General features: G+C 48.5%; 1 protein-coding gene and 1 long non-coding RNA gene across 9 annotated transcripts in view, besides 9 other annotated features; one reads left to right on the top strand and one right to left on the bottom strand.

The window, feature by feature from the left end:
- Positions 1–16,450, bottom strand: part of LOC124904643 (uncharacterized) — a 29,522-nt gene extending 13,072 nt beyond the window's left edge. Inside the window, exons 1-3 of one of the 2 annotated variants that reach the window (XR_007067146.1) lie at positions 16,415–16,450; positions 12,458–12,571; positions 4,697–4,831 (exon numbers count right to left, since the gene is read on the bottom strand). This is a non-coding gene — a long non-coding RNA (uncharacterized LOC124904643). Of the gene's footprint in view, positions 1–4,696; positions 4,832–11,666; positions 12,572–16,414 lie in introns of those variants that run through there. The other variant, XR_007067145.1, reaches the window with a different exon arrangement.
- Positions 14,618–14,757: a silencer, noted in NCBI's record as "silent region_10276". NCBI's record gives its function as "represses an Ori minimal core promoter by ATAC-STARR-seq in GM12878 lymphoblastoid cells {active_cell/tissue: GM12878}" and the evidence as "EXISTENCE:reporter gene assay evidence [ECO:0000049][PMID:35858748]".
- Positions 15,642–16,258: an enhancer, noted in NCBI's record as "H3K27ac hESC enhancer chr19:15443616-15444232 (GRCh37/hg19 assembly coordinates)". NCBI's record gives its function as "activates a minimal SCP1, AML or CMV promoter by ChIP-STARR-seq in naive H9 embryonic stem cells {active_cell/tissue: H9 hESC(naive)}" and the evidence as "EXISTENCE:reporter gene assay evidence [ECO:0000049][PMID:30033119]".
- Positions 15,642–16,284: a biological region, named in NCBI's record as "H3K27ac hESC enhancer GRCh37_chr19:15443616-15444232".
- Positions 16,215–16,284: a silencer, noted in NCBI's record as "silent region_10275". NCBI's record gives its function as "represses an Ori minimal core promoter by ATAC-STARR-seq in GM12878 lymphoblastoid cells {active_cell/tissue: GM12878}" and the evidence as "EXISTENCE:reporter gene assay evidence [ECO:0000049][PMID:35858748]".
- Positions 16,425–16,524: a silencer, noted in NCBI's record as "silent region_10274". NCBI's record gives its function as "represses an Ori minimal core promoter by ATAC-STARR-seq in GM12878 lymphoblastoid cells {active_cell/tissue: GM12878}" and the evidence as "EXISTENCE:reporter gene assay evidence [ECO:0000049][PMID:35858748]".
- Positions 16,524–22,871, top strand: part of BRD4 (bromodomain containing 4) — a 97,021-nt gene continuing 90,673 nt past the window's right edge. For 4 of the 7 annotated variants that reach the window (XR_007066712.1, XM_047438540.1, XM_047438543.1 and 1 more), the window contains exon 1: positions 17,140–17,227. The gene's annotated coding sequence lies outside the window, so the exon portion shown is untranslated. Of the gene's footprint in view, positions 16,774–17,139; positions 17,228–22,871 lie in introns of those variants that run through there. The other 3 variants (NM_001379291.1, NM_001379292.1, NM_001330384.2) reach the window with 1 other exon arrangement.
- Positions 16,755–16,984: a silencer, noted in NCBI's record as "silent region_10273". NCBI's record gives its function as "represses an Ori minimal core promoter by ATAC-STARR-seq in GM12878 lymphoblastoid cells {active_cell/tissue: GM12878}" and the evidence as "EXISTENCE:reporter gene assay evidence [ECO:0000049][PMID:35858748]".
- Positions 17,185–17,284: a silencer, noted in NCBI's record as "silent region_10272". NCBI's record gives its function as "represses an Ori minimal core promoter by ATAC-STARR-seq in GM12878 lymphoblastoid cells {active_cell/tissue: GM12878}" and the evidence as "EXISTENCE:reporter gene assay evidence [ECO:0000049][PMID:35858748]".
- Positions 17,315–17,464: a silencer, noted in NCBI's record as "silent region_10271". NCBI's record gives its function as "represses an Ori minimal core promoter by ATAC-STARR-seq in GM12878 lymphoblastoid cells {active_cell/tissue: GM12878}" and the evidence as "EXISTENCE:reporter gene assay evidence [ECO:0000049][PMID:35858748]".
- Positions 17,475–17,524: a silencer, noted in NCBI's record as "silent region_10270". NCBI's record gives its function as "represses an Ori minimal core promoter by ATAC-STARR-seq in GM12878 lymphoblastoid cells {active_cell/tissue: GM12878}" and the evidence as "EXISTENCE:reporter gene assay evidence [ECO:0000049][PMID:35858748]".

Genomic DNA, 22,871 nt, shown 5'->3' with positions numbered 1-22,871 from the left:
TCCGCCTCCCAGGTTCACGCCATTCTCCTTCCTCAGTCTCCCGAATAGCTGGGACTACAGGTGCCTGCCACCACACCCCACTAATTTTTTGTATTTTTAGTAGAGACGGGGTTTCACTGTGTTAGTGAGGATGGTCTCGATCTCCTGGCCTCGTGGTCCACCCGCCTTGGCCTCCCAAAGTGCTTGGATTACAGGTGTGAGCCACCGCACCAGGCCTTTTTTTTTTTTTTTTTTGAGACAGAGTCTCGCTCTGTCAACAATGCGGAGTGCAGTGGCGCGATCTCAGCTCACTGCAACCTCCACCTCCCACGTTCAAGCGATTCCCCTGCCTCAACCCCCAGAGTAGCTGGGATTACAGGCACGTGCTACCACAACCAGCTAATTTTTGTTATTTTTAGTAGAGATGGCGTTTTGCCATATTGGTCAGGCAGGTTTTGAACTCCTGACCTCAGGTGATCCGCCCACCTCGGCCTCCCAAAGTGCTTGGATTACAGGCGTGAGCCACTGCACCTGGCCCCAGCCCTTGAGTTTTTATATGGACTTTAGGGTCATCTTGTCAAACCCAGCTGGTACTCTGACAGAGATATCAGACAGGAAATCTACAGATCAACTGAGGTAATATTGCCTTTTTTTTTTTTTTTTTTTGAGACGGAGTCGCGCTGTCACCAGGCTGGAGTGCAGTGGTGCGATCTCAGCTCGCTGCAACCTTGGCCTCCCAGGTTCAAGCCATTCTCCTGCCTCCGTCTCCTGAGTAGCTGGGACTACAGGCGTGTGCCACTGTACCCACCCAGCTGATTTTTGTATTTTTAGTAGAGATGGGGTTTCGCCATGTTGGCAAGGATGGTCTCGATCTCTTGACCCTGTGATCCACCCGCTTCAGCCTCCCAAAGTCCTGGAATTACAGGCGTGAGCCACCGTGCCCAGGCTTGGACCTCTTTTGTTCCTAAGTATTTTTTATATGTTTGATGCTATTGTAAAATGAAGTTTTAACATTTCTTTCGTTTGTTTTTTTTTTGAGACAGAATCTTGCCCTGTCGCCAGGCTGGAGTGCAATGGTGCAATCTGGGCTCACTGCAACCTCCGCCTCCCGGGTTCAAACGATACTCCTGCCTCAGCCTCCAAAGTAGCTGGGACTACAGGCGCACGCCCAGCAAATTTTTCTATTTTTAATAGAGACAGGGTTTCACCATGTTGGCCAGATGGTCTCGATCTCTTCACCTCATGATCTGCCCTCAGCCTCCCAAAGTGCTGGGATTTCGGGGGTGAGCCACCGTGCCCGGACTAAAAAAATTTTTTTTTTGAGACAGAGTCTTGCTCTGCAGCCCAGGTTGGAGTGCAGTGCCAGCATAATCTTGGTTCACTGCAACCTCTGCCTCCTGGGTCCCAGTTAAGCAATTCTTCGCCTTAGCCTCCCGAGTAGCTGAGATTACAGGCGCACACCACCATGCCCAGCTAACTTTTGTATTTTTAGTAGAGACGGGGTTTCACCATGTTGGCCAGGCTGGTCTTGAACTCTTGACCTCGTGATCCACCCACCCCGGCCTCCCAAAGTGGTAGGATTACAGGTGTGAGCTACCATAAATTTTTTTTTTTTTTTGAGACGCAGCCTCATTCTGTTGCCCAGGCTGGAGTGCAATGGTGTGATCTTGGCTCACTGTAACCTCAGCCTCCCGGGTTCAAGCGATTCTCCTGCCTCAACGTCTGAGTAGCTGGGATTACTGGTGCATGCCACCACACCCAGCTAATTTTTGTATTTTTAGTAGTGACAGGGTTTCACCATGTTGGCCAGGCTGGTCTTAAACTCCTGATACCAAGTGATCAGCCCGCCTCGGCTTCCCAAAGTGCTGGGATTACAGGTGAAAGCCACTGAACCCAGCCTATTTAAAACATTTTTAATTAAAAATTTTGGGCCGGGTGCGGTGGCTCACGCCTGTAATCCCAGCACTTTGGGAGGCTGAGGCGGGCGGATCACGAGGTCAGGAGATCATAGACCATCCTGGCTAACACGGTGAAACCCCGTCTCTACTAAAAATACAAAAAAATTAGCCGGGCGTGGTGGCGGGTGCCTGTAGTCCCAGCTACTTGAGAGGCTGAGGCAGGAGAATGGCGTGAACCCGGGAGGCAGAGCTTGCAGTGAGCCGAGATCGCGCCACTGCACTACAGCCTGGGCGACAGAGTGAGACTCCGTCTCAAAAAAAAAATTTTTTGTTTGTACTCAGGGGGTCTGCCTGATAATTTTTTTGTTGTTGTTGTTGAGACAAAGTCTCACTCTTGTCGCCCAGGCTGCAGTGCAATGGCACAATCTCGGCTCACTGCAACCTCCGCTTCCCGGGTACAAGTGATTCTCCTGTCTCAGCCTGCTGAGTAGCTGGGATTACAGGCACCTGCCACCACGCCTGGCTAATTTTTTTATTTTCAGTAGAGACAGAGGTTCACCATGTTGGCCAGGATGGTCTCGAACTCCTGACCTCAGGCAATCTGCTCGCCTCAGCCTCCCAAAATGCTGGGATTATAGGCGTAAGCCACTGCATCTGGCCGAGAATGTTTTTAATTTCATTTTTGGGTTGTTCGTTGCCAGTGTACAGAAATACAAGTAAGAGGTTTTTGTGTGTTGATCATGGATGCTAATTTTGTGGAATGTATTAGCTCTAATAAGTTTGTGTGTGTATGTGTGTGTGTGTGTGTGTGTTCTTCAGGATTTCGTATCTATAAAATCACATCATCTGTGAATAGATACAGTTTTACTTCTTTGATTACTGTCTTCCAGTACAGTGCTGGCATTGTTGTAACACTTTTATTCTTTTCTTTTTTTTATTTTTTTGAGACAGGGTCTTGCTCTGTTGCCCAGACTGGAGTGCAGTGGCACAACCATAGCCCACTGCAGCCTCAATCTCCTAGGCTTAAGTGATCCTCCCATCTCAGCCTCCTGAGTAGCTGGGACTACAGGCATGCACCACCACGCCCTGCTAATTTTTGTATATTTTGTAGAGACAGGGTTTCTCCATGTTGCCCAGGCTGGTCTCAAACTCCTGGGCTTAAGAGAAACTTCTCCCAAGGTGATGGGATTACAGGTGTGAGCCATGGCACCCAGCCTCTTTTTTTTTTCTTTTCTTTTCTTTTTTTTTTTTTTTTTTTTTGAGACGGAGTGCTGCTCTGTCTCCCAGGCTGGAGTGTAATGGCACGATCTCGGCTCACTGCAACCTCCGCCTCCTGGGTTCAAGCGATTCTCCTGCCTCATCCTCCCGAGTAGCTAGGATTGCAGGCACATACCACCATAGCCAGCTAATTTTTTTGTACTTTTAGTAGAGATGTGGTTTCGCCATGTTGGCCAGGCTGGTCTCCAACTCCCGACCTCAAGTGATCGCCTGCCTCAGCTTCCGGAAGTGCTGGAATTTCAGGTGTGAGCCACCGCGAGCCTGTGTTTAAAGCATATTTACATCCCCAGTAATATTCCTCTCAACTGAATTCCATTATGTTGATGTGGAAGACCGTTTATTCCTACAAATCCTATATTTCCAGCCAACTCATTCAAGCTGGATTATTTCAATAAAGAACAGAGTGTATATAACATCTCCTTTTCGGGTCTAAGTCTGAGTCACAGGTCAACAAGTTGGGCATTTGTGTCTGCAGGGCCTAGGCATTGTGGGTGCACAGATCACCATGTTTTCACTTAATAGGCCACCCAGCCCATCGCTACCCACTCAAAACGACAACCGATCCTGCCCTGTGGGAAATGCCTGGGGATTTTGGCTTCTCAGATGCCTACAAAGACTTGGGAACATTTCTCTAAATAGATGTGAAGAGGCAGAGTTCAAAAATGCATGCAAGTTTCCCATATTTGCTGGCAGAAAATTATCTCTGAAATAACTGCTAAATACTTGTTGTCCTCTTTAGAGATTACCCACATGGGCCGGTGACTAACTTTAGGGAAATGAAATGTGTGAATGTGAGAATTCTCTACTACAATGGTCCCCAAAAGGAAAACTGTAGCCTCCCTAGAGAGACATAAGTTCCTAATTCCTCCTCACAAGAGGACAATGAGAATGACAATACCGATTACCCCAAATGAATTAAGACCACAACAATTCTCCGCAGTGTTTGAAATACACTTTGTCGGCCAGGCGCAGTGGCTCATGCCTGTAATCCCAGCACTTTGGGAGGCTGAGGCGGGAGGATTACCTGAGTCTGGGAGTTCGAGACCAGCCTGACCAACATGGAGAAACCCCGTCTCTACTAAAAACACAAAATTAGCCAGGTGTTGTGGCACATGCCTGTAATCCCAGCTATTCAGGAAGCTGAGGCAGGAGAATGGCTTGAACCTGGGGGGCAGAGGTTGCAGTGAGCCAAGTTCACGCCACTGCACTCCAGCCTGGGCAACAACAGTGAAACTCTCTCTCAAAAGAAAAAAAAAGAAATAAACTTTGTCAACTGGATGGGCACGGTGGCTTACACCTTTAATTCCAGCACTTTGGGAGGCCGAGGTAGGAGGATCACATGAGCCCAGGGGTTTGAGACTAGTGTAGGCAACATGGCGAAAATCTGTTTGTAAAAAAAATGCAGGCTGGGTGCAGTGGTTCACGCCTGTAATCCCAGCACCCTGGGAGGCTGAGGTGGGTGGATCACTTGAGGTCAGGAATTTGAGACCAGCCTGGTCAACATGGTGAAATCCCAGTTCTACTAAAAATATAAAACTTACCCTGGCATGGTAGCGCATGCCTGTAATCCCAGCTACTTGGTAATCCCAGCTACTCCGGAGGCTGAGGCAGGAGAATCGCTTGAACCCGGGAGGCGGAGGTTGTGGTGAGCCAAGATCACGGCATTGCACTCCAGCCTGGGCAACAAGAGTGAAACTCCGTCTCAAAAACAAAACAAAACAAAACAAACAAACAAAAACAACGGCAAGCAAGCCGGACGCATGGTGGCTCACGCCTATAATCTTTGCACTTTGGGAGGCTTTGGTGAGGATCACTTGAGTCCAGGAGTTTGAGACCAGACTAGGCAACATAGGGAGACCTCATCTCTACTAAAAAAAAGAAAAAAATTGCCAGGCATGATGGCACACACCTATAATCCCAGCTACTTGAGAGGCTGAGGCAGGAGGATCGCTTGAGCCCAGCAGGTTGAGGCTGCAGTGTGCTGCGACCATGCCACTGCAGTCCAGCCTGGGCAACAGCGCAAGACCCTGTCTCAAAGCAAAACAAATAAACAAACTGGCAAGCATAATAGTATATACATGTCTTTATTTTCACTTTTTGAGACAGGGTCTCACTCTATTGCCCAGGCTGGAATACAGCGGTGTGATCTTGGCTCACTGCAGCCTGGACCTCTCAGGCTCAGGTGATCCTCCCACCTCAGCCTCCCAAGTAGCTGGGACTACAGGGATGTGACACCATAGCTGGCTAATTTTCTGTATTTTTGCAGAGATGAGGTTTCACCATGTTGCCCATGACGGTCTCGACCTCCTGGGCTCTAGTGATCCCCCGTCCTCGGCCTCCTAAAGTGTTAGGATTACAGGCATGAGCCACCATGTCCGGCCTACATGTGTTTATACATTTGTCAAAACCCATAGAATATACAACACAGAGTGAATGAACCCTAATGTAAAGTACAGGTATTAGTTAATAATGTATCGGTATTGGATCTATACTGGCTCATCAGCTGTAACAAATGTAGCACACTAATGTTAATGCTGAGATTGGGGAAAATGGGGTGGAGGGTAGTAGTAAGGGCATATATGGGAATCGTACTTTCCACTCAATTTTTTTTTTTTTTTGAGATGGAGTTTTGCTCTTGTTGCCCAGGCTGGAGTGCAATGGCGCGATCTTGGCTCACTGCAACCTCTGCCTCCTGGGTTCAAGCGATTCTCCTGCCTCAGCTTCCTGAATAGCTGGGAGTACAGGTGTGTGCCACCGCACCTGACTAATATTTTTGTATTTTTAGTAGAGACGGGGTTTCATGTTGGGCAGGCTGGTCTCGAATTCCTGACCTCAGGTGATCCACCCGCCTCAGCCTCCCAAAGTGCTGGGATTACAGGTGTGAGCCACCACGCCCAGCTTCAATTTTTTTTTTTTTTTTGAGATTGAGTCTCGCTCTGTTGCCCAGGCTAGAGTGCAGTGGCGCGATCTCGGCTCACCGCAACCTCCTCCTCCTGAGTTCAAGTAATTCTCCTGCCTTAGCCTCCCAAGTAGCTGGTATTACAGGTGCGCGCCACCATGCCCGGCTAATTTTTTGTATTTTTAGTAGAGACAGGGTTTTGCCATGTTGCCCAGGGTGGTCTCAAACTCCTGACCTCAGGTGATCCACCTGGCTCAGCTTCCCAAAGTGCTGGGATTACAGGCGTGAGCCACTGCACCTGGCCTCAATTTTTATGTAAACCTAAAACTGCTAACAAAATAGTCTATTAATTTTTTAAAAATTATAGCAGAGTAGCTTCTGTATCATTACAGAAATGAGACTTGTAGGCTGGGCACAGTGGCTCATGCCTGCAAGCTCAGCACTTTGGGAAGTTGAGGTGGGAGGATCTCTTGAGCCCAGGAGTTCAAGACCAGCCTGGGCAATATGGTAAAACCCCGTCACAATAAAAAATGCAAAAGTTAGCCCATTGTGGTGGCATGCACCTGTGTATGGTTCCAGTTACACAGGAGGCTGAGGCAGGAGGATTGCTTGAGTCCAGGAGGTCAAGGCTGCAGTGATCGTGCCACTGCACTCCAGCCTGGGTGACAGAGAGACCCTGTCTTTTTTTTTTTTTTTTTTTGAGACGGAGTCTCACTCTTTTGCCCAGGCCGGACTGCAGTGGTGCTATCTCGGCTCACTGCAAGCTCTGCCTCCCGGGTTCATGCCATTCTCCTGCCTCAGCCTCCCAAGTAGCTGGGACTACAGGCATCCGCCACCACGCCCGGCTAATTTTTTGTATTTTTAGTAGAGACGGGGTTTCACCGTGTTAGCCAGGATGGTCTCGATCTCCTGACCTCGTGATCTGCCCACCTCAGCCTCCAAAGTGCTGGGATTACAGGCGTGAGCCACTGTGCCCAGCCGAGAGACCCTGTCTTAAACAAACAAATAAAAAAGATGCATGTAAAGAAATTTCTGCTTCTCTAGGCTTGAGAGTCTAGAACTGGGACGAGCAAACTATATGGCCTACAAGACAAATCTCAGCCACCGTTTTTGAACAGCCTTCCAGTGAGGAATGGTTTTTATATTTTTTAAAAGGCTGACAGCCGGGCGCGGTGGCTCATGCCTGTAATCCCAGCACTTTGGGAGGCCGAGGTGGGCGATCACCTGTGCTCAGGAGTTCAAGACCAGCCTGGCCAACATGGAGAAACCCCATCTCTACTAAAAATAAAAAATTAGCCGGGTGTGATAGCGCATGCCTGTAATCCCAGCTACTTGGGAAGATGAGGTAGGAGAATTGCTTGAACCCGGGAGGCAGAGGTTGCGGTGAGCCGAGATCGCGCCACCACACTCCAGCCTGGGCAACAAGAGCGAAACTCCGTCTAAAAAATAAATAAATAAATAAATAAATAAATAAATAAATAAATAAAAGGTTGACAAAAGTCAAAATAATGACATTTTGTGACTCATGAAATGTATACGAAACTCTCATTTTAGTATCCGTAACATTTTATTGCCAGTCATGCCATATGTTTACATATTATCTATGGCTGTTTTTGTGCCACAATGGTACAGCTACAAAAATTAACAGTGTAGCTGGACTCAGTGGCTCACACCTGTAATCCCAACACTTTGGAAGGCCAAGGCAAGAGGATCATTTGAGCCCAGGAGTTCGAGACCACACTGGGCAACTTAAATGAGACCCCCATGTCTACTAAAAATAATGAAAAAAAAAAACAGCTGGGCACAGTGGCTCCTGCCTGTAATCCCAGCACTTTGGGAGGCCGAGGCAGGCAGATCACGAGGTCAGGAGTTCAAGACCAGCCTGGCCAACATAGTGAAACCCTGTCTCTACTAAAAATACAAAAATTAGCTGGGTGTGGTGGCACACGCCTATAGTCCCAACTACTCCAGAGCCTGAGGCAGGAGAATCATTTGAACCCGGGAGGCAGAGGTTGAAGTGCGCTGAGACACACGCCACTGCACTCCAGCCTAGGTGACAGAGTGAAACTCCATCTCAAAAAAACAAAAACAAAAACAAAAACAAAACAGCCCAGCATGGTAGCATGTGCCTACAGTCCCAACAACTTGGAAGGCTGAGGCAAGAGGATGGCTTGAGCCTAGGAGGTTGAGGCTGCAGTGAGCCCTGATGGTACCACTGCAACTGCAGCCTGGGTGAGAGAATGAGACCCTGACTAAAAGAAAAAAAAAAGGCCGGGCGCTGTAGGGCTCATATCTGTAACCCCAGCACTTTGGGAACCTGAGGCGGGCAGATCACCTGAGGTCAGGAGTTCAAGAGCAGCCTGGGCAACATGGTGAAACCCTGTTTCTAATAAAAATACAAAAATTAGCTGGGCATGGTGGCACATGCCTGTAATTCCAGCTTCCTGGGAGACCACGGCATGAAAACTACTTGAACCTGGGAGGCAGAGGTTGCAGTGAGCTGAGATCACACCACTGCACTCCAGCCTGGGCAACGCGGCAAGACTCTGTCTCAAAAAAATTTTTAAAAAATTGGCCATGTTATAGAGATTGTATGGCCCTCTAAGCCTAAAATGTTGAGTATTTGGCTCTTTCCAGAAAAAGTTTGTCAACCCCTGGGCTAGGGGAAAAAAATGCAAGCAATCTTTACAGAGTCAGGATATCTAGGTTCTCAACTCTGTGTAAATGTGTGACCTTGGGTGACTCACTTGCCTTCTCTAGGTCTAACTATAAATTCTAGAATGTAACTTTGTGGGCAAGTTCCCATTGGAAAGTGGGCATTGATACAAGACACAAATCCTCCAGCTCCTTTTTTTTTTTTTTTTTTTTTTTTGAGACGGAATCTTGCTCTGTCTCCCAGGCTGCAGTGCAGTGGTGCGATCTCTGCTCACTGCAAACTCCACCTCCCGGGTTCAAGCGATTCTCCTGCTTCAGCCTCCCAAGTAGCTGGGATTACAGGCACACACCACCACGACCGGCTAATTTTTGTATTTTTATTAGAGATCGGGTTTCACCATGTTGGCAAGACTGGTCTCGAACTTCTGACCTCAGGTGATCCACCCACCTTGGCCTCCCAAAGTGCTGCAATTACAGGTGTGAGCCACGGAGCCCGGCCTCTTTTTCCCTTTTTTTTTTTTTTTTTTTTGAGACAAGGTCTCACTCCATTGCCCAGTCTGGAGTGCAGAGGCTCAATTGTGGCTCACTGCAACTTCTACCTCCCAGGCTCCGATGATCCTCCCACCTCAGCTTCCCAAATAGCTGGGATGACAGGCATGCACCACCATACCCAGCTAATTTCTTTTGTATTTTCTGTAGAGGTGGCATTTCGCCATGTTGGCCAGACTGGTCTTAAACTCCTGGATTCAAGTGATCCACCCTCCTCGGCCTCCCAAAGTGCTGGTTTTACAGGTGTGAGCCACCACACCCAACCTTTCTGATGTTTTCAGAGCTGAACATGCTATATAAATTTATCCTTGTTTTTTTTTTTTTAAACAGTCTATTGATCTTTTATTTTTTATTTTTATTTTTTGAGACGGTATCTCGTTCTGTTGCCCAGGCTGGAGTACAGTGGCGTGATCTTGGCTCACTGCAACCTTCGCCTCCCAGGTTCAAGTGATTCTCCTGCCTCAGCCTCCTGAGTAGCTGAGATTACATATGCCTACCATCATGCCCACCTAATTTTTATATCTTTAGTAGAGACAAGGTTTCACCATGTTGGTCAGGCTGGTCTTGAACTCCTGACCTCTTAGAGTGAATAATGTGCTCAATACGTACATGAATTCTCTTGGCAAGAATTTTGCCCTTAACTTGTCCGTTTAGAAGAATCCCAACAGCATGCTTGGTAATACTGTAGACTCTTCCAGTTTTGCATGATAACAGTTGTGGGGCATTCCTTTGTGAACAGTACCCATTCCCTTGATGTCTACAACATTACTTTTCTTACAGATTTGCATGCATGTGGCCAAAGGAACAACTCCATGTTTTCTTTTTCCTTCGTTTTTTAGTTTAGTGTTTTTTTTGTTTTTTTTTTTAAACGGAGTCTTGCTCTGTCTCCCAGGCTGGAGTGCAGTGGCGCAATCTTAGCTCACTGCAACCTCCACCTCCTGGGTTCAAGTGATTCTTGTGCCTTAGCCTCCCGTGTAGCTGGGACAACAGGTGTGCACCGCCACACTTGGCTAATTTTTGTGTTTTTTTAGTAGGGACGGGGTTTCACCATGTTGGCCAGGCTGGTCTCGAAATTCCTGACCTCAAATGATCCACCTGCCTCAGTCTCCCAAAGTGCTGGGATTACAGGCATGAGCCACCATGTTATCTGAGATAGATAACATACTGTATGTGATCCTGACATCATCTCCAATAAGGCAGATCTCAGAGTATTCACGTGAAATGACTTCCAGCCAGACACAGTGGCATGCACCTGTAGTCCCAGCTATTTGGTATGCTGAGGTGGACTGGGAGGATCGCTTGAGTCTAGGAGTTCTGGGCTGTATGTATTAAATTAAAAAAGCTGGCTGGGTACGGTAGCTCATGCCTGTAATCCCAACACTTTGGGAGGCGGAGGTGGGCGGATCATTTAGGGCCAGGATTCTGAGACCAGTCGGGCCAACATGGTGAAACCGTGTCTCTAGTAAAAATATTAAAATTAAATAGCTGTGGTGGCGCATGTCTGTAGTCCCAGATACTTGGGAGGCAGGGGCATGAGAATCGCTTGAAGCTGGAGGCAGAGGTTGCAGTGAGCCGAGATCGCACCACTGCACTCCAGCCTGGGTGACAGAGCAAGACTCTGTCTAAAAAAAAGAAAACAGCAAAAAGCAACAGATATAGGATGATCCCTTTTGTTTAAATAACATAACTATTTCTATACATTGATACACATTGATGCATAGAATTAAAATCTAAGCTGGGCAGGCAGCTATAGTCCCAGCTACTCAGGAGGTTGAGGTAGGAGGATTGCTTGCGCCCAGGAGTTCAAGGCTATAGTCAGACATGATTGTGTCTATGAATAGCCACTGCATTCTAGCTTGAGCAATATAGTGAAACCTTATTGCTACAAAACACAAACAAACAAAAAAAATAAATAAAAAAAAAAGCCAAGTGTGGTGGGGCATGGGTGTAGTCATATGTACTCAGGAGGCTGAGGTGGGAGAATTGCTTGAGTGGAGAAGGGTGAGGCTTCAGTGAGCTATGATTATGCCACTGCACTCCAGCATGGGTGACAGGGTGAGATCTTGTCTTTATAACTTAATAAATAAATAAATAAGCCAGGTGCCATGGCTCAAGCCTGTAATCCCAGCACTTTGGGAGGCCGAGGTGGGCAGATCACTTAAGGCCAGGAGTTCGAGACCAGCCTGGCCAACATGGTGAAACCTCGTCTCTACTAAAAATACAAAACAATTAGCCGGACGTGGTGGCACATGCCAGTAATTCCAGCTACTCAGGAGGCTGAGGCACGAGAATCTCTTGAACCCAGGAGGTGGAGGTTGCAGTGAGCCGAGATCATGCCATTGCACTCCAGCCCAGGCGACAGAGTGAGACTGTTTCATAAATAAATAAATAACATGTGAACCATGAGGTAACAAGACTATTTTTATTAAAGTGACTCAACCAGATAAACATTTTCTGAGTTTGAGCTATCTTCGAGGAGTTAGGCAAAGCACCATGGAAGACAAAAAGAATGAGACATTGTTGTCCCAAACGATTTTTGGAGACAGCTTTTGGAACTGCCTTTACAGCCTGAATATTTTTTCCAGGTTGGATTTAATTTGTAGCAATGGCCAAAAGCCACCTAGTTCGGTCTAGTTATCAATCTAGATATATAGTTTTGTCTAATGTTAAGTGTGACTCTACAGTAAAGTGAGGGCTTTTATTATGTGATTTGCAAACCAACAGTTCCAAATTACTTCCAAAAACATTTATTGTCAACAACAATGATAATTTTTTTTTTTCGAGATGGAGCCTCGCTCTGTCCACCCAGGCTGGAGTGCAGTGGCACGATCTCGGCTCACTGCAACCTCCACCTCCCGGGTTCATGACATTCTCCTGCCTCAACCTCCCGAGTAGCTGGGACTACAGGCACTCACCACCATGTCTGGCTAATTTTTGTATTTTTAGTAGAGATGGGGTTTCACCATGTTAGCCAGGATAGTCTCGATCTCCTGACCTCGTGATCTGCCCGCCTCAGCCTCCCAAAGTTCTGGGATTACAGGCGTGAGCCACCGCGCCTGGCCAACAATGATAAATTAAGTGGATAATGCAGCAAGACAAGATAACTATAGGGAAGGAGAGCTTAAAATAGATACATTCTGGTTTCCTTAAAAAAACAAACAAACAAAAAACCCAGTAACAACAAACCAGTTGTTAATACCTATTCACAAAGCCCTGGGTACCCTCCTGCTCTTTTTCCATTTCTGATCATCTTCTGCATAATTGCCAGGGGTGCAAAATTAGGAGCCAGAAGATATTCACAAATTTCAATATTCTGTAATACAGAGTTAGAAGGAAGTTTCAATGAAGGAGTTACAATTACATCCTTTATTTCTTGCAGCTAATAACTTGTTTTCTCATGCTTTGTTAAAAATAAAGGGTTAGGCCAAGGCAGAAGAATCACTTGAGGCCAAGAGTTTGAGATCAGCTTGGCCAAGACAGTGAGATCCTATGGCTACAAATTTTTTTTTTTTTCGAGACAGAGTCTTGCTCTGTCACCCAGGCTGGAGTCCAGTGGTGCGACCTTGGCTCACTGCAACCTCCACCTCTTAAGCAGGCTCAAGTGATTATCCTGCCTCAGCCTCCCAAGTGGCTCAGATTACAGGCATGCAACACTATGCCTGGCTAATTTTTTTTTTTTTTTTTGAGACAGAGTTTGACTCTTGTTGCCCAGGCTGGAGTGCAATGGCGCGATCTCCGCTCACTACTGTATCCTCCACCTCCGCAATCTCTGCTCACTGCAACCTCCGCTTCCTGGGTTCAAGTGATTCTTCTGCCTCAGCCTCCTGAGTAGGTGGGATTACAGGCACCTGTCACCAAGCCCCGCAAATTTTTTCTATTTTTAGTACAGATGAGGTTTCACCACCTTGGCCAGGCTAGTTGTGAATTCCGGACCTCAGGTGATCCACCTGCCTCGGCCTCCCAAAGTGCTGAGATTACAGGCATGAGCCACTGCACCCGGCCTTTAATTTTTGTATTTGTAGTACAGACTAGTGTGTTCACCATGTTGGCCAGGCTGCTCTCAAACTACCGACCTCAGGTGATCCACCCGCCTCAGCCTCCCAAAGTACTGGCATTACAGGCGTGAGCCACTGCGCCCAGCCAACTACAATTTAAAAACTTAGCTGGGTGTAGTGGCACATGCCTGTAGTCCCAGCTACTCGGGAGGCTGAGGTGGGAGGATTGAATGAGCCTAGGAGGTCGAGGCTTCGGTGAACCATGAATGCAACACTGCACTCCAGCCTTTGGTGAACCATGAATGCAACACTGCACTCCAGCCTGGGCAACAGAGCAAGACCCTGTCATAAATGAATAAATTAATACATAGATACATGAATGAATGAAAAAATTTAATTTTTAACTTTGCTTAGGACCCATTAGTGATTTATGATTGCCCCTGGTTAAGCATGAGCAAACACATGATAGAAAAGAACTATTTTACTGGTATCCTATTATATCCATATATTCTGAAACCATGGGCCATCAGGAAATGTTTCATTACTTGGACTTAAAAAAAAAATACCACGCAGACTTTTTTGTTTTTTTTTTTGAGACGGAGTTTTGCCCTGTCACCCAGGCTGGAGTGCAGTGGCATGATCTTGGCTCACTGCAACCTCCACCTCCCAGGTTCAAGCGATTCTCCTGCCTCGGCCTCCTGAGTAGCTGGGACTACAGGTGCCCGCCACCACACCCGGCTAATTTTGTTTGTATTTTTAGTAGAGACGGGGTTTCACCATGTTGCCCAGGTTGGTCTCAAACTCCTGACCTCAGGTAATCTACCCGCATTGGCCTCCCAAAGTGCTAGGATTACAGGTGTGAGCCACTGTGCCTGGCCCCATGTAGACTTTTTAGAACTGAGTTTGCTTTCCTTTTTTTTTTTTTTTTTTTTTTGAGATGGAGTCTCACTGTCGCCCAGGCTGGAGTGGAGTGGCACGATCTCAGCTCACTGCCACCTCTGCCTCTTGGGTTCAAGTGATTCTCCTGCCTCAGCCTCCAAAGTAGCTAGGATTACAGGCACCCGCTACCATACCTGGCTAATTTTTATATTTTTAGTAGAGTCGAAGTTTCACCATGTTGGCCAGGCTGGTCTAGAACTCCTGACCTCAGGTGATCCACCTGCCTCGACCTCCCAAAGTGCTGGGATTACAGGTGTGAGCCACCGCGCCCAGCCTGCTTTCCATTTTTAAAAGATGGGAATACAAAATGCTAAGAGAATGGCCTGGGTGCGGTGGCTCACGCCTGTAGTTCCAGCACTTTGGGAGGCTGAGGGAGGTGGATCGCTTGAGCCCAGGAATTCAAGACCAGTCTGGGCAACATGGTGAGACCTCCTCTCCACAAAAATACAAAAATTAGCTGGGCACGGTGGCGCACACCTGTGGTCCCAGCTACTAAAGAGGCTGACGTGGGAGGATCACTTGAGACTGAGAGTTTGAGGTTACAGTGAGCTATGATCCAGCCACTGCACTCCAGCCTGGGTGACAGAGCAAGATCTTGTCTTAAAAAAAAAAATATATATATATATAAAAGGAAAGAGAAGTGGTTGTTTCCAGGTTTGAAAAATTTCACAGTATTATTTTAAGCTACAAGAGACATATGCCTAACTTCCTCCTTTTAGCAATCTCAAAACTACCCCATGTTTACTAAGCTCTTCCGTGGCCAGGTGGGGTGCTTTGGAAGCCCTAGAAGAGGTCATATGATGTTTTTTCCCCTCGGACTCACACATGTAGAGTAGGCACATACGTCCTGGAGCTGACTTAGGGTTGAGTCTTTTTCTTTTTTGGAGACAGAGCCTTGCTCTGTCGCCCAGGCTAGAGTGCAGTGGCACAATCTCGGCTCACTGCAACCTACGCCTCCCGGGTTCAAGTGATTCTTCTGCCTTAGCCTCCTGAGTAGCTGGCATTACAGGCATGGGATTACAGGCATGCGCCACCACACCCGGCTAATTTTTTTTTTTTTTTTTTGAGACGGAGTCTCGCTCTGTCGCACAGGCTGGAGTGCAGGGGCGCGATCTCCGCTCACAGCAAGCTCCGCCTCCCGGGTTCACGCCATTCTCCTGCCTCAGTCTCTCGAGTAGCTGGGACTACAGGCGCCCACCACCACACCCGGCTAATTTTTTGTATTTTTAGTAGAGACGGGGTTTCACCGTCTTAGCCAGGATGGTCTCGATCTCCTTACCTCGTGATCTGCCCGCCTCCCAAAGTGCTGGGATTACAGGCGTGAGCCACTGCGCCCGGCCCACACGGGGCTAATTTTTGTATTTTTAGTAGAGGCGAGGTTTCACTCTGTTGGCTAGGATGGTCTCCAACCCCTGGCCTCAAGCCAACCTCCTGCCTCTGCCTCCCAAAGTGCTGAGATTACAGGTGTGAGCCACCGAGCCTGGTCTGACTTGGGGTTGAGTCTTAAGGATGGGAAGGAGCTGGGCGCGGTGGCTCACGCCTGTAATACTAGCACTTTGGGAGGTCGAGGCAGGAGGATCGCTTGAGTCCAGGAGACAGAGACCAGCCTGGCCAACATCGTGAGATCCCATCTCTACAAAAAATAGTTAGCTGGGTGTGGTGGTGCACACCTGTAGTCCCAGCTACTTGGGAGGCTGAAGCAGGAGGATCGCTTGAGGCCAGCAGGTTGAGGCTGCAGTGAGCTATGACTGCACTACTGCACTCCAGCCTGGGGGACAGAGCAAGACCATGTCCCTTTTTTTAAAAAGGTGGGTTGGAAGAAGATCAACAGGGGGGCATAAGAGGAGAAAGGTGCTACCTCCCTGCCCAGGGGCAGCCAAGGAGGATCCGCCTCGGCCTTGCTCGCAGCCTCCTCTCACCTCCTTTCCTCCACTTCACCCCAGCCCCGGCGCCCCCATCGCAGCTCTCTCGCCTCAGCCTCCCTACCTGGGGTCCCCCCTTAGGGCTCTCTCCTCCGCCTCCTCCATCAGTCTGTGGGGTCCCTCCTCACCATCCTCCCTCCCTGTGAGGGTCTGTCTTCAGACCTTTCTTAGTATTTTGGATGTCTCTCTCAGCCTTCAGATCTTTTCCCGCAGGCCCAGCCTGCAGTCCGCCCGTTTCCCCCAGCCCGCTCCTTCGCTCTGCGGGGTCTCCTCCCTCAGTCCGCGGTATCCCCCACTCACCTCGCAGCCACTGTCTCTCCAGAGCTCGTTCGCGCTGGGCGCGGGGGCGGGGCGCGCACACCGGGCGGCGGCGGCGCGGGGCCGCGCGCGCAGCGTGCGCGGTGACGTCAGTGCGCTGGCGGCGGCGGCGGCGGCGGCGGCGGCGGCTGGGCTGTTTGTTCTGGTCTCCCGCAGCCGAGGAGCCGAAGCAGTGGCGGCGGCAGCGGCTGCGGCGGCTGCCGGCGGTGCCCGCGGGCGAGCGCGGCCTGTGAGCTCGGCAGAGCGGCGGGCGGGCCCCGGCGCCGCGCAGGCAGCTCGGGGAGGGGGCGGCGGCAGCGGGCGGACGGCCGGCGGGGGCGGCGTGCGGCCTAGCGTCTCAGGTGAGGACTGGTGCCCTTTGGGGCGGCGGACGACACTGGGCGGCTGGCGGAGGCTCGCGGCGCGGTCCGCGTAACCTGCATTGCGTAATGGGGCCGGGGCGCCGCCACCTACGCCATCCGCGCGGCGCGGGGGCGGGGAGGCCGGGGCTACGCGGGCTCGGGCCTGCGGGCCTCCCGCGCCGTTCGTTCCGGGCCGGGGCGGCCTGCGCCGTTGGTGTCGGGGCGGCGGGGTCGCTCGCGGCTGTCCTGCCTTTGGTGCCGTCGGACCCGGGCTTGGGCTGGCCGGCGGGGCGCGGGTGGGGGGCGCGGGCGCCGCGGCGGGGCCGGCGGTCGGGGGCGGGCGGGGGGCGGGCCGAGGCGCCCGGCACTTCCTGCCGCCGCCATTTTGTTAAGTGAGGAGGAGGAGGAGGAGGAGGAAGCGGCCGCCGCGGGGTCCGCGGCGCGCCCGGCCCGGGTAAGTCCCGGCCTGGCGCGGGGGCCGCGAGCGCAGCTGTCCCGGTCCGCGGTCCTCTAGGCGGGCTCGGCCGCGGCGCTCACGTGGGCCGGGGCCGGCGCGCTCTCCTTCTGGCACCCAGGTCGTTTTGCCTGGGCCGGGGCAGCGCGCCCCCACCCCCATCTCTTCACCTTCCCGGCGGTCCCCGGAGTGCTGCGGAGAAAGGGGCAGGTCCCCTGCGGAGGGAGGTGGCTGCGGCTGCACGCCGGTCTGAGGCCAGGCCTCAGGGCGGGAGCGGTGCCCTGGAGGCGAGCTTGGCCCGCTTGACGCACCCACTCTCAGCCTGGCAGCCCCTTGCTGGGCGCTTTGTTTTGCTCGGTCCGTGCTCGCCGGCGTCCTTGCAACGGCCTATTTTATTTGCAGTGTTGTGTGGTGGTGGTGATTGTGGTGATTTGGGGTGGGGATGTGGGGGAGTTGTGATTCAGCGAAATAAAATGATCCCCCTCCTCCCAAACGGAAATAGCATGGCTTCACTCGGCTGAGATGCCCCCAAGGCTTGGGTTTGCTTGAAGATGGGAAACCCCACTCTGTTGTAGTGGACGGTGTAAATACTTTAGTTCAGGCCGGTGCATGAGTCATGTGCTTCTCCTGGGTGGCTGACCTCCCTTTTACTCAAGACTACGCTTTGTTTTTTTAAGATTTTTATTTGCTTGTTTACTTGTTTACGTTTCGTGCAGCCTGGTGGGGTGTCTGGTCTTGGGTTCATTTCTCTGCGTGTGTGTTGGATGCTAGTGACCCCTTGGAATGTATGCCTCACGAGAATTGGAATGTCTTTGCTTACCTTCGACAGGGCTCTACCAGTCCGTGGTTCCAAAAACCAAGTCGCAGTTTACCTCGTAAGCCAGTGGCTCTTTGGGGCTGTAACAATGGTCGGGAGTTTTTTGTGAATGGAGCTGTCAAGTTCCCTACCGTCTTTGGAAGTTGTAAAGAAAGCGATACTCAAAAGGATTTATGAATGTGTTTTTAATTTCAAGAAAGTTTTTGATGGCACAATCTGTTTTATGATCTTGCCAATATATACATATACTTTTAGATGGAGTCTCGCTCTGTCGCCCAGGCTGTAGTGCAGTGGCGCGATCTCGGCTCACTGCAACCTCTGCCTCCTGGGTTCAAGCGATTCTCCTGTCTCAGCCTCTCGAGTAGCTGGGACTACAGGCGCCCGCCACCACATCTAGCTAATTTTTGCATTTTTAGGAGAGACGCGGGTTTCACCATGTTGGCCAGGCTGGTCTCGAACTCCTGACCTCAGGTGTTCCATCCTCCTCGGCTTCCCAAAGTGTTGGGATTACAGGCATGAGCCACCGTTCCCGGCCGCCAATAATTTCATAAAGCATTTATTTCGGTTTAATTTGGGTGGGGATTATGTTTTTTATCTTTTTATCTTATCACTGATGCGTTGTAGATAACCAAGCGCTTCCCCCCAAAAACTTCAGCCAGGGAAAGATAAACCACTCAGGGTTTCCATTGATCAAATGGAGAAGGCAAAGCCTAATCTGAAACAAAATGTATTGCTGCTCTGTTATCCACCATACCTCTTTCTTTGGTAGGAAACATAGTATCTTAAAGGCTCAAACTGGAGTTAGCCGGTCTCAGAATGGCTTTAGTTGGTCTTAATTGGAAGGAGTCGAGTCCACCTCCGAGTATCTTGCTAGCAGTCAGCCCAGTGGAATTGCTGAAGATAAGGAACTTTGCCTACGGATGAAAGATAAGAAGGTAGCTGCTGAGTTTTAAGGATTGTTTGGCTGTTCTGGGGTGCTATATGCCTAGCTTCGCTAGTCTGGAGGACAGCGAGGGAAAATTTTTAGCTAAGAATAACGAGAATCATTGGCCACTTAGTAACATTTCCACTAAATTATTGAATTGTTTAAAGGAATTTAGACTTTGTTTCTAAAAGTTGCCTTTTTGAGCCAGTTGTTGTGATCTTTGTACTAAATTGCACTTTTGCTTTAGGAGGTGGGGGTAACAATATTTTCTTGTTTCACAATTCAGGTTATTGAATGACTTCAGATTTACAGATTTAAGAGATTGAATTTTGTTTTGTTTTTATTTTTTATTTTTTTGAGAGAGTCTGAAGTCAGTCGACAGGCTGGAGTGCAGTGGTGCGATCTCGGCTCACTGCAACCTCTGCCTCCTGGGTTCAAGCGAGTCTCCTGCCTCAGCCTCCCGAGTAGCTGGGATTACAGGCACGCGCCGCCACGCCCAGCTAATTTTTGTATTTTTAGTAGAGACGGGGTTTCATCATATTGGCCAGTATGGTCTCGATCTCCTGATCTCGTGATCCGCCAGCCTCGGCCTCCCAAAGTACTGGGTTTACAGGCATGAGCCACTGCGCCCGGCCTGTTTTGTTTTTAAAGCAAAAAACCATTTGGCACCTCAGTGATTTGAAGACCCTGGGCTGTTAAATCTGCTTCTGACAACCTACTGTATAGTGTGTTGTATTTTGTGAATGTAAAATGTTTTGGTTTCTGATTTTGAATAAACTTGTAGAGTAGACCATGTTTGTCTTTATGTTCCTGGCAAATCTGTAAAAAGGAAAGATAAGCTTGTCATTGGAGCTCCTAATGTTTCATAAATCTTTGTGATTTTTGGTGTCTAGAAAAGAGTGTACATTTGCGAGGTGAGAATTGTGGGGAATTCCTTGCTGGTGCTGACATTTAATACATAAGAGATGAGTTTGGAAAGATAAAATTTCCTTGTTAACTTAAAAAAAAAAAAAGCAGAATGCGCCGGGCGTGGTGGCTCACGCCTGTGATCCCAGCACTTTGAGAGGCCGAGGCGGGCAGATCACCTGGGGTCAAAAGTTCGACACCAGCCTGACAAACATGGAGAAACCACGTCTCTATTAAAAATACAAAATTAGCCGGGCATAGTGGCGCATGCCTGTAATCCCAGCTACTCGGGAGGCTGAGGCAGGAGAATCGCTTGAACCCGGGAGGCGGAGGTTGCGGTGAGCCAAGGTCATGCCATTGCACTCCAGTCTGGTCAATAAGAGCGAAACTCCGTCCCAAAACAAAAAACAAAACCAGAATGTAAGTTGGATGAGGGCAGGGTTTTGTTTGCTTGGCTTTGCCTGTTTTATTCTGTTGTATCTTGTGCCTAGAAGAGCACCTTAAATAGTCTCAATGAATAAACGGGAGAAGTAATTGAGCAAGAATTTTGCATGCCGTAATGCCAAATGCAAATAATCCCGCTTTAAAAATGTTGTTAGCCGTGGACATAATTGTTCGGTAGTGACTTACAAGGAATGTGAGTTTCAACTAAGATAACGCTGGGGTCCCTCGGTGTTGTAGTAAACTTATTAGTCCGAGCAGCCTGGCATGCAGTGTGTTTCCATGCACTACTGGACATTTCCCACTTAGCAGTTTGAAGTGCGGTGAGTGGCTTTGCGCTGTGGTTCAACCCTGACCTGCCAAAAGTATTTTCAAGAGGGATATGAAGTGGGCAATAAACACATATGGGTAGCATTTCTTAATGTGAATCTCATGTTGTCAATAAAAACCTGTTAAGTTTTTTTTTAAACATTGAACACATTTTTAAATATTTTGATTTTATGTGTGCATGATTGGCCAATCTGTCTCTACAATTAGTCCTTGAGCCCTTACTATGTACAAGGAAAGACTGAAAGATATTTGTATAATGACTTTAATATGCGTAGTCTTTATTATTAGCGTGTTCATCCTCCACGTTTATTGAATATCAATTATGTATAATTTGAGCATACTATTATTGTAAAATCCTACCAAACATCTTTTTAAGAAAATAATAGCTTTGAGATAAACGTTGTTATACATGATACAATCATCAGTTTTTAAATGTATTTACAGAGATTTGCAGCCATCACTGCAACCAATTTTAGGACATTTCCACCCCCCCCCCCCAAAAGAAATCCATTACCTATCATTCCCCATGCTCCTGCCCACCCCCCGCCACTTTTGCCCCTGGAAGCCACTCATCTACTCTCTGTCTCTATGGATCTGCCTGTTATGGATATTTCAGGAATCCTACAATATGTAACCTTTTGTGCCTGGCATCTTTCACTCACTGTACTGTTTCCAAAAGGTTCTTGCTGTGTAGCATGAATCAGTACTTCATTCCTTTTTATAACTGAATGATACTCCATTATATGGCTATGCTACATTTTGTTTACCCATTCATTAGTGGTGAACATTTGGGTTGTTTTCACTTTTTGGCAATTGTGAATAGTACTGTTAAAAATACATTTGTGTACTTTTTTTTCTCTTTTTTTCTTTTTCGAGACGGAGTCTTGCTGTGTCGCCCAGGCTGGAGTGCAGTGGCACGATCTCAGCCCACTGCAGCCTCCACCCCCCGGGTTCAAGCACTTCTCCTGCTTCAACCTCCCAAGTAATTGGGATTACAGGCACCTGCCACCATGCCCGGCTAATTTTTGTGTTTACTATTTAGTAGAGATGGGGTTTCACCATGTTGGCCTGGCTGGTCTTGAACTCCGGAGCTCAAGTGATCCACCCACCTTAGCTTTCCAAAGTGCTGGGATTACAGGCGTGAGCCACCGCGCCTGGCCTTTTGCGTACAGGTTTTAGTTTCTCTGGGACAGATATCTGGGAGTGGAATTGCTGGGTCATATATCTATGTTTAAGTTTTTGAGGGTGCACAGCGACTTTTTAATGGCATTGATGTTTCTAGTACTTAGGTAGAATGGTTAAAAGCTTAGTGGGATACTGAGTAACTGTTTAAATGAATGAGGAAGTGGAACTGCAAGGATATCAGCATGTTGACATGTTGTATTCTGCCTTCATGGTTTGGTCACCGTTTGGTTTTTTACATTGTGCATGGTTACAGAACAGTTTGAAATGCTGCTCCATAGAGAACAGTCTCGGAGATGCACCCCAAACTTGCAGTTCCTTTATTGTAAAGGGTGATGTTTTAAAGCAGTTTGTTTTCAGTCTCGACAGGCTACCAACCTCAATTAAACCACGTGCACATGTCCTAGCATAATTCATGGAATGTAGTCCACTCTGAAGAAGCAGAGGAAGAGAGTTCTGAGTCAGGGTGAGGGCAGAGCAGCCGTCTGTCCCATTCTTGTCCTCGTCCTGAAGAGGAATAACATTGGTTGTTCCACATCATTTGAAAAGGAGATTGTAAGGCTTTTTCTTTAAACAAAAGTAGTGCATGGTCATTTTAAGGAATTTGGAAAAAGTAGAATGTTAAAATGATGGTTAAAAATGATCTCTTAATCCCATTTTCTTTCCTTCCAGTTATTTGTCTTTGTCTGAGTAACACAATTTGGTTGTAGTGAAGTTCTTTGTTTTTAATTTTAATTTTTATTTATTTATTTATTTTGAGGCAGAGTTTTGCTCTGTCACCTATGCTGAAGTCTTTGCTCTGTCACCCATGCAGAGACTGGCTCATTGCAACCTCTGCCTCCCCGGTTCAAGCCATTCTTGTGCCTCAGCCTCCCAAGTAGCTGGGACTACAGGCGCCCCATGCTGCCACACCTGGATAATTTCTTGTAGTTTTAATAGAGATGGGATTTTGCCATGTTGTCCCCACTGGTCTTGAACCTCTCGCCTCAAGTGATCTGCCTACCTCGGCGTCCCAAAGTGCTGGGATTAGGATTACAGGCATG

Source organism: Homo sapiens, chromosome 19 (assembly GCF_000001405.40).
Source record: "Homo sapiens chromosome 19, GRCh38.p14 Primary Assembly".
In the NCBI taxonomy this organism is placed as follows: domain Eukaryota; kingdom Metazoa; phylum Chordata; class Mammalia; order Primates; family Hominidae; genus Homo; species Homo sapiens.
This window is presented reverse-complemented; position numbering and strand designations above follow the sequence as displayed.